The sequence below is a fragment of the Homo sapiens genome, chromosome 19, assembly GCF_000001405.40.
Source record: "Homo sapiens chromosome 19, GRCh38.p14 Primary Assembly".
NCBI classification, from domain to species: Eukaryota; Metazoa; Chordata; class Mammalia; order Primates; family Hominidae; genus Homo; species Homo sapiens.
Window position 1 is genome coordinate 28916087 of NC_000019.10, and position 10452 is coordinate 28926538.

A 10452-nucleotide genomic window follows, 5' to 3' on the forward strand; every position below is an offset into this window, starting at 1 on the left:
TCACAGCTCACTGCAGTCTTGACCTCCTGGGCTGAAGTAATCCCCCCACTTCAGCCTCTCCAACTACAGGTGCATGTCCCAAAGCCTGGCTAATTGTTTTTTATTTTTTTTGTAGAGACAGGGTCTTGCCATGTTGCTCAGGCTGGTCTCAAACTCCTGTCCTCAAGTGATCCTCCCACCTCAGCCTCCTCAAGTGCTGGGATTACGAGTGTGAGCCACGGCGCCCGGCCCCCTTGCCTCTGATCAGGCTAGCTCTCTAAACCTTCCAGAGCTCCCTCTTGGGGCCAAGCCAGCACCCCCTGGGGCCTGTTCTTGATGCTGCATCCTTGGGTGCCATTTTCCTCTCTGCCCCACTTTCTCACTCTTCTATTAGTCATTTCTGAATAATTGTGTTCACACAGATCCATATTTTCAGTTCTTTTTCTAGGAAATCCATCCTAAGATGAGAATCTCATCAGAAACTTCCCTTCCAGGCCTGAAGCCTTCCAGTAGCCTCTTTGTGGACATGTCAGAGCTTTGGTAGAGTCTGAGGCTCAAGTTCAAATCCTGAGCAAGGTCTTAAATATTCCTGCTCAGCCGGATTCACCCTTTGGGATGTGAGTACTAGTGGTAAGTCTCGAATTTTTTAAGGATTTTGCTCAAAATCTTTTTAGGGAGTTGCCAAAATGCCCCAACCAAAGCACCTTATTACCTGTCTTGGAAAATTCCAATCAGGGAGATTTGGGATAAAGTAGACATCAAAATAAAGCTTTTATGAGTAGAAGAATTATAACATATTCAGCATTGTTTTAGCCCATCCAGAATGCCAGACACTGTGAAGTTCTATTTGTGAGCTACCATTTATTCCTGCCACAACCCTGTGAAGAATGAATGATCATATTTCTCTTCCCTCTCACAAATGAAGAGGAGACTGGAGTCAAAGCCTTAAGAAATCCATCTTAGCACACCTAGAGTCCAGTGAAAGAGAGAGGCTGGCGGCTGGCATGGTCTCTCTTCCTGGAGTGGGCAATGGCCATTAGCAAGACCTGGAAGAAGTTAGCAAGTTCTCCCAGGAGTGGCTGGTTCAGATGCCCTGCCTTTCAGGCCAGGCTGAAGCAAGAGGCAGAAACACTGGTTGATGAGGAGTCAAGGACTGCCATTCACCAACCAGTGCAAAACCCCGTGTGCTCAGAAGCCCCTCCTGGGACCTGACCTTCCACCTCGGTAAGGACAGAAACGATTTGGTAAGGTACATCCACCTTGGAGAAGGCTGGATTTGCTTACTCGAAACCAGAGAGCAATTCCAATTTGAGTGAAGAGGACCACCTGAGTGGGGTGAGGAATAAGTGCGAGCCAGCACAGAGTGAGCACCAACAGCATGAAGGAGGCTCAGGTAGCTCCATTTCCTGGCACTGACTGTATGCTGGGCGTCACGCTCTGTCCTTTCTCTCATCTAATCCTCAGGGTGGCCCTACAGGGATGTTCTGCTCTCATCCCTGTTGGAGTGTCAGGAAGGGTTAGGGAAGATGAGGCCCTTCCCCAAGGTCACGGGCTCCTAAGTGGAGGCTGTGGGATGGGACCTCAGCTGCCCCTGACTGGACTCTCAGCCGCTGTGCTGCACTAGTCATGACAGGTTTCCAGGAGCCCACAGAACCTCAGCTGGGGAAGGGGCTCTCTCGGGGTGGGGCCTGTGATGACCTTGACCCTGTCTGCAGAGAAGAGGAGAACGGGAGAGGCGTGACTCATCCCCTGCCAGTATGGCCGGACTCACAGGCAGCCTTGCCTCTCTGGCTCTCTTGGGACGGGCCACTGCCATGGTGTCAGGATTGCCACTTTCCTGTCCTCATCACTGCTGCTGTTAATAACACACGAATAATTCAAGCCATAAACTTTGAGGCACAGGCTCCTCTCTGGCCCTGGGGGAGCTGCCAAAGATAGCTCAGGCTCGGCAGCCCCGCAGCATGGGGCGAGTGAGAGAAGCGTGTGGGGGAAGCGCTTGTCCCTCCAGGCTAGGCTCTCTCAGTGCTTCCAGATGCACTCAGGGCCTCCTTTCCTCCACGGCAAGGCCCCTCATGCCGTCAGCCCGTGGGCAGGAGGAACAGCGCTGGGCGGCATTGACGTTCTGTGTTAAAGCCTAGAAGAGGAGCTCTCTTCCTTTTTCTTCCCATAGGGCATCTGTCTGGGAAGCAATGGTTGGGCCTGGAGGGATCTCTGGGGACATCCTTCCTCATGAGCTGGGCGTAGAAGACCAGGTGTTCACCAGAGAAGAAAAGCCCTGGCAGCAATCCTGGGTGGTGCTGGGTGGTCCCTGTGGCTGCTCCTGGCCAGCTCTGAGAGAAATCATTTAGCAGAAATGGTGCTTTTTCCACCCAAAATGTTGTGGGGGGCCCAGGAAGGGCTAAATCTGCAACTCGACCAAGAGGCCCTCCAAAGAGGTGTGGGTTTTTTGTGCTCCCAGTGAGCAGCCTGTTGCTGGGTGACAAGCCAGCTGGGCTCCCAGGACTACTCCAAGTTGTATCCCTCAAAGTTCCACATTTTAGGAGACTTCTCTGACTCGGACAAAGCAGGATGGGGAGCCCAGAGCCAGTGGGGGCTCATGAATGAGATGTCCAGAAAAAAGCTGTTCTTCAAGAAAGATTTTAACTTTAATTAATTAATTTATTCATTCATTCATTTATTTCAAGACAGAGTCTTTCTCTGTTGCCCAGGCTGGAGTGCAGTGGTACAATCTCGGCTCACTGCAACCTCTGCCTCCCAGGTTTAAGCGGTTCTCCAGTCTCAGCCTCCCGAGTAGCTGGGATTACAGGCCCACGCCTCCACGCCCGACTAATTTTTGTATTTTTAGTAGAGATGGGGTTTCACCGTATTGGCCAGGCTGGTCTCGAACTCCTGACCTCGTGATCTGCCCACCTCAGCCTCCTGAAGTGCTGGGATTACAGGCATGAGCCACCACGCCCAGCAGATTTTAATTTTAAATCTTGAAACACAACAAACCCCAGCCATCCTCCATGCCTGTGGGGTGCATGAGGTGGATCCTCACACACTGCACCAGAAGCATGACTGGCAGCAACAGGCAGCTTAGAAATGTCTGATCATTTCACCCAGAAGCTTTCTCCTGTGGCTTCTTAAGAAGTTATAAGAAACTGTGGCACAAATCTTAGTATTACAATGTTCTCCTCTTCCTCACATATTATAAAAAAATAAAAACAAAAACAAACAAACAAAAAAACCAAGGGAAACAGATCACTGATCAAAATACACAATGATTAAAATCATTGTCCTTTGACCATGCACAGTGACTGATGACTGGAGTCCCAGCACTTTGGAAGGCAGAGGTAGGAGGATCACTTGAGGCCAGGAGTTTGAGACCAGTCTGGGCAACATAGCAAGACGCTGTCTTTACAAAAAAAAAATGTTTTAAATAGCTGGGTGTGGTGTGCACCTGTAGTCCCACTTACTTGGCAGGCTGAGGTGGGAGGGTCGCTTGAGCCTAGGAGTTTGAGGCTGCAATGAGCCATGATCTCACCACTGCACTCCAGCTTGGGTGACAGAGCAAGACCTTGTCTCAAAAATAAAGAAAGAAATAGATCTAAGTCTTTCATTCCTGGGCAGTATTTTCCAGCAAAGAATTACCTTGTTCTGTATGCCTGTATCTTTTCTTTTTCCTGTCACTGAATCAACTGTACATATGGTATAATCCTAAATTTGTAAACAAATATTAAAAATATGCACATAAACCTGTTTACATGTCAGAAAAAAGACTAGAACAAAATATACAAAAAAGAGATGACTTTGACATTTTAAGAGACATCACATCTTTTTTTTTTTTTTTTTTGAGATGGAGTTTCACTCTGTCACCTGGGCTGAAGTACAGTGGTGTGATCTCGGTTCACTGCAACCTCTGCCTCCCAGGTTCAAGCGATTCTCCTGCCTCAGCCTCCTGAGTAGCTGGCATTACAGGCGCCCACCACCACACCCGGCTAATTTTTGCATTTTTAGTAGAGACAGGGTTTCACCATGTTGGCCAGGCTGGTCTCAAATTCCTGACCTCAGGTGATCCACCTGCCTTGGCCTCCCAAAGTGCTGGGATTACAGGCATGAGCCACTGCCCCTGGCCCCTTTTTCTGTTTTATAATGTAAGCAATATTGAAATTCCAGTGGAAAAAAATTCTCTTTAAAGTTAAAAAATTCTAATTTCGAGCTAAAGAAAACTGAGAACAATAACAAATATCAATACCACCAAAAATTTCTAAAACAATTACAGTTTCTGGAGTGCTATGGCTCATGTGACAGTGAGAGGACATGGAGCAGGCATTATCATCTCCAATTCACAAAGGAAGAAACCCAGAGGCCGTGTGGCTCCCTCCGTGACAACAGCTCACAGGTGAGACCTCGTGGGCCGACCTCAGGCCTCCTGGCATCTAGCCCGTGCTCTCTGTGATCTGAGTTGCCTTTTTAGACTTCTAGGGCAGTCGCTCCTTCTCTAAAAATCAGCTAGAAGCTCCCCTGAGTGATAACGGGTTGAGTTTGCCTAGCACAGCCCTAATTTTTGCCTATTTTTCTGGCATACTTAGTAGTACCCTTTTTACTCTCAGAAATAGTCCAATGAGGAAAATAAAATGCCTGGCCTCCTTTTCAAGGCATATTAACCTCTTCATGTTTCTGTCGGAATTTCACAAAGCCACCCTCCTGGGGCCAGGAGTGGAGGCCCGCGAGCTCCCGCCCCACGCCTGGTGGGTGCAGTCTCCAGCTTTGCGCTTTGTTTGTCATTCTGAACAGCTCTGCTCCCATCAGCTGGGGCTCTGTGAATCAGAGACGCTGCAAAGAGCAGCACTCCCAGGAGCTCAGATGAAATGCGACTGAGGGCAACTCCTCCCAGCCACAGACAGCTGCTCTGCAGGGAGGCTCAGCAGCGCCCAGCAAAGTGCCTGCTGTGCACTGAAAGATCCTCAATGGGCCCTGATTTTCCGTTTGTCCTTTCAGCAGTCACACATTCAACACATTGTTGAGGAGCAGCTAAGCGCCAGTCTTGGGCACAGATTAAAGAACAAGAAAGAAAATGCCGCTGTGCTTACGGTACTAATATTCTAGTGGGGATTCAGGCAACGCACAAGAAATGCACATGAATACATACAAAAATAGACAGGTGCTATGATAACACAGAATGGTGGTAGGTCGGCTTCAAATGGTGCAGTCAGGGAAGGACTCCGGGGAGGGAATTCTATGGTGAACTCCAAACGGGAGGAAAAGGTGGGCCTGGAAGGATTTGGGCTGGAAGAGAGCCCCACTCTCCCAGGAATGTCAAGGGCAAAGGCCCTGGGGTGGGACAAGCTTCTGCGCATTTGAGGAGGATGGAAAGGAAGCTGGGTGGCTGACCTGTGGAGTGAGAGGCTGGAGGGTCAGTCCAGGCAGCGCACAAGGGGGATTGCGAGGATTTGGGACTCAGCTCTGACTGCAGTTAAGAAATATTTGAGCTGCTAAGTGATAAGCCTTGGCGTCATCCACACAGTGTTAATTCTGCAGGCGTGCAGATCTCAAGAGTGGTGGGGGCTTTCCTCGTGGGTCACCAGGCGGAAACCTGCCGCAAGGGTGGAGCCCCCCACAGAGAGCCCCTTCTAGGGCAATTCCAAACAGAAAGGTGGGGTCAGAGCTGCCACAGAGTCCCCACTAGGGTAATGCCTAGTGGAGCCATGGGAGGGGGTCCACTTCAGGGACCCCCAGACTGCAGAGCAGCCAGCTTGCAGCATCTCATGGGAAAGATTCCAGCCCATGGGCGCAGGAACATGGAGTCCATCAAAGCCATGATGGGGTGCGGGGGTGCAGGGTGCTGCCCGAGTCCTTGGGGGCCCAAACCTCCCAAAGTGCATTGGATGCTGGACTGGGAGTGAAAACAGGTGATTCTCCAGCTTCGAGATTTAGTGTCTGCCCTGCTGGGTTTTGGACTTGCTTGGGCTCGTCACTCTCTTCTTCTTGACTATCTCTGCCTTTTGGGGTGGGGATACCCTGCCCTATTCCCATCCCAGCATTGTGTCTTGGAAGCAGATGCCTTGTATGATTTCACAGGCTCACAGTAGGAGGATTTGCCTCTGGATGAATTGAACCTTGAATCTCACGCACATCAGATTCAGATGGGACTCTGGACTTAGCACTTTCAACTTAATGCTGGAATAAATTAGAACTTTTGGGCAGGCTGCCATGGCTCATACATGTAACCCCAGCACTTTGGGAGGCCAAGGTGGGAGGATCACTTCAGCCTAGGGGTTCAGCATCAACTTGGGCAACCTAGTGAGACCCTGTCTCTACAAAAAATAAAAAAAAAATAGCAGGGCATGGTGACATGTTTCTGTAGTCCCAGCTGCTTAGGAGGCCAAGGGAGGAGGATTGCTTGAGCCCAGGTATTTGAGGTTACAGTGAGCTATGATTGTGACACTGCACTCCAGCCTGGGCAACAGAGTGAGACCACTTTTTTTGTTGTTTGTTTGCTTTGTTTGTTTGTTTGTTTGGCTTTGGAAGTACTGAGATGGAGTGAATCTATTTTGTATGTGAGAAGGACGTGAGTTGTGGGCGGCCGGGGCAGAAGGCTGTGGTTTGAATGCCCCCTCCAAGTCTCATGTGCACACATAATCCTCACTGTAACCATGCTGAGAGGCAGGACCTCTGAGCGGCAATTAGGACTAGATGAGGTTATCAGGGTAGAGCCCCCATGATGAGTCTGGGACTTTATAAGAAGAGGAAGAGATGTCTAAGCTGGCACACTCAGCCCCCTTGCTGTGTGAAGGCCTGTGCCACCTCAGGACTCTGCAGAGAGGCCCCACCAGCACGAAGACCCTCCCCAGAGGCCGCTCCTCCGCCTTGAACTTCCCAGCTTCCAGAAATGTAAGAAATACATCTCTTTTCTTTATTGAAAGAAAGAAATATTTGCAGTGCTGAGTGCCATGAGCAGGTCCCCTGGTTCCTCTAAGGAGGACACACAGAAGGAGAGAAGGCATGAGTGTGGCAGAAGATGACCGGGAGAAGAATGCAGGGGCTGGGAGCGCCTTATGCAAGAGGGGCTGCAGTCTAGATAGAGAAGTGTGGTGTCAAGGCTAAGTTTGAAATCTGAATACAGTTTGCACATTAAAACAAAAAAGACAGGGTTGTCTAGGCTGGTGGAAATTGGGAGGGAGGAGCAGAAAAAAATAACCAAGGAGTACATTTCACCATTAGTTTAAGTGAGTGGTAGATGGTGTGCCATTCTCTGAGATGTGATAAAAAGGGAGGTAAAGGTTTGGGGGTTGGGGTGTCCTGGCACTGAGGGAGGGACTACAGAAGCTGTGTTTCAGACATGGTATTCTGAGGTGTCTCTAAAACATCTGAGTACAGATGTCAAAGAGACGGTCAGATATGCAAGGCTGGAGCTCACGGCTAAGGTCTTGGCTAGAGGCATAAACGTGAAAAGCATTTGCATATGTTGAAGGCAAGATGGTAAAACTCCTCAAGAATAAGAAAGTAGTCACTAGTGTCAAAAATTTGCAGAGGGAAAAAATATAAGGACATTTTGCTTTTTGTCCATACATTTGGCCAAAGTAAAGGTGATTGGTGACATTGATGAAGCAGTTTTCATGGAGCTATAGGGCAAGGTTCACATTGTGGACACGGAGAGCCCTTTATCAGTACAGCGGCCAACTAAATAAATAAAAATTATTGCTAAGGCTTATTCCAAAACAAACTCCCAATAATGCTGGATAAAATGCATAAAACAAACCAAGTTTTCAAATGCATAAATTAGCACACAACAATAAGACAAATATCCAGAAAATAAAACTAGGGCAGAAACTAAAACTAAAGTTATAACCATGACCTGCCAGTCTCCCCAGCCAGTGAGCTTAGGTTTTCATGGCTTCTGGGAGATGAAGCCATGGGCCTGAGAGAGCTGGGCAGTTGGAGCTAAGATTTTCTCCTGCCCACCCCACAGAAAGCCAGGAGCTCTGGAGGGGTGCCATCCCCATGAAAGAATGGCTAGAAACACTGAGGCCACTACACAGAGAGAGAATAGAGAAGCCTGTCCTCCTTGACGTAGGCTCCAGGACATGGTAATGTTTTAAAGTGGTATCCACCATACGGTTAAGGAAAACAGCCTCTGGCCCCTAGCCGCGACACCATGAAATATGTATGGCTTCCTTCTCTGTTCATCCCCTCTCCGTCAGATCTCCCCTGGGAACACAGAATTATTATCCCTGAATCACATGAGACCTTTCCATTCTCCAAAGCTATGGAGAAAGCTACCTCAAATGTCAATGTCCGCATATCCAGTGTCAGAGTTCAGGCTCACCTCTCCTTCAAGGTGTCCAGCTGAACAAACAGCCTTTCACTCCAACACTTTCATCCCAAACCATGGCAATGTGAATATAATTTTTAAAAAAGCAAGCCAAGCCCAAACAAATTCTATGTTTATACCTTCCTCCTTTTTTGGTTAACCTCTACTAAGGGACCCAATAGTGTTACTTTTGCATGAGAATCTGAGTTTATAATAAAATAGTTCTGCTATGCTCACAGTCTTTCTAGTCTTTGTAGTTCTAAATTATGAATCCCTGAGGAGCTTGGCTGGGAGATAATCTACATAACAGACAGCACACTCCATCAGAATTTCTCCTATAAAACAACCAAGATCACGGAGTGTTCTTACTGGGTGATCTTGCCATGCCTGGCTCCCTCTCCCCTATAGTGGGGACTCTAGCAGAAAGATTCTTGGAACCTTGAAAAATGGCCACGTAGGGAGCCCGGCTACCAGTTTACCAGTTGTACTTGGATTGCAGCTGTGCACAGTGCTTAGGCTCAGGCCCCATTCATACTAAGAATTCCTTTATTCCATCATACAGGAGCTCAAGAGCACATTTAAGTTTACTTTATTCATTTACAATTTGTATTCTGTTTATTTATTTACTTTGAGATGGAGTCTCGCTCTGTCACCCAGGCTGGAGTGCAGTGGCACGATCTTGGCTCACTGCAACCTCTGCCTCCTGGGTTCAAGCAATTCTCCTGCCTCAGCCTTTTGAATAGCTGGGATTACAGGCGTTCACCACCATGCCTGGCTAATTTCTGTATTTTTAGTAGAGACAGAGTTTCACCATGCTGGCCAGGCTGGTCTCAAACTCCTGACCTCGTAATCCGTCCCCCTTGGCCTCCCAAAGTGCTCAGATTACAGGTGTGAGCCACCATGCCTGGCCTGTATTCTACTTATTTTTTAAAAGATGAGATTAACTCAAAATTACATAAATGTATTAAATATGTTTTTAATCTCTCAAATAATGACATAAGCTATATATGCTATATATATATATGTCATTGGTTTGAGAGATTAAATATATTTAAAAGCAGAATTACAGTTGAGAGATTGAGATCATTTCTGTAATTGTACACTAAATATAACACAGCACTTCCTGGTAGCCAAGGCAAAATCAGAAACAAGTTCAGTTGCCTGGCTCTTTTTTTATCTTATCAAAGGAAGCATACCTGTTGTTTAAAAGAAAGACTTGATAATAAGTATGAAAACATTAATATCACCAGAGAAAATAAAGCAATTTTTAAAGGTAATGCATGTTAAAGATAAGGCATTATGTATATAAAATGCGTAAATTTTGTATATGTTGCTTATGCCTGGAACCCCAACGACAATCTTCCAGTTGTGTCGATGAAATTGTTCTTGTTGCATTTCAGTAGCTTCAGGTTCCCGGAGGGAGAATGTGAATATTCATTTATTTATGACTTCCTTGGGACACTGCTAAAATAAAAATTATCTGTTGAAAAAGGAGTAAACAGCAAAGAGAAAAAGGCAATCACAAATAAAATTATCATCAAATTTTAGAAGACAAATAGTTTTACGTAACAAGTTCATGAATGAAATGGACAGAGAAAGCTGCATTTTAGAAAAGCAACTGGACTGTAGAGGAGATGAAAGCCAGTCTGTCGTCCAGCACCCCAGACAAGACTGGGCTCAGGGTCCTTCAGGAGTGGCTGGGATCAAGAGAATTCTTAGAAGTCTGCAGTAGTACACCAGCAGGTTACCTTCCCCACCCACTGGTCCCCAGAGGAGGACACTCAGTAGGACAGCTTGCTTCTAGCAAAGCCCAAGATGGCTTTTCTCTAAAAACATTGAAAAGATACATGGTGGATGCAAAAGCATTTGGGGTGGACAATGGCAGCCCAGCGTGACACCCTCCTCATTCTGGCAAGGAAAGGGATGGACAGAGGCCTGACACTCAACTCTAATATTCTCCCCCACCCTACACAGGGCTCCTAGTCAGACACTGTATAAGTGGGGGGCCACCCAGGCATCACCAACTGTAGGAAGAGAATTGGCAAGCAGGAAGGGAAGGACCAAAATGCACAAATAGAAAACATGACCCCAGAGAAAGTAGTCAATTAAGGGAATAGAAAAGAAAAGAAAAGAGAATGTGATTCCGAATTTACTCAACAAGATTCAAAACATGTATT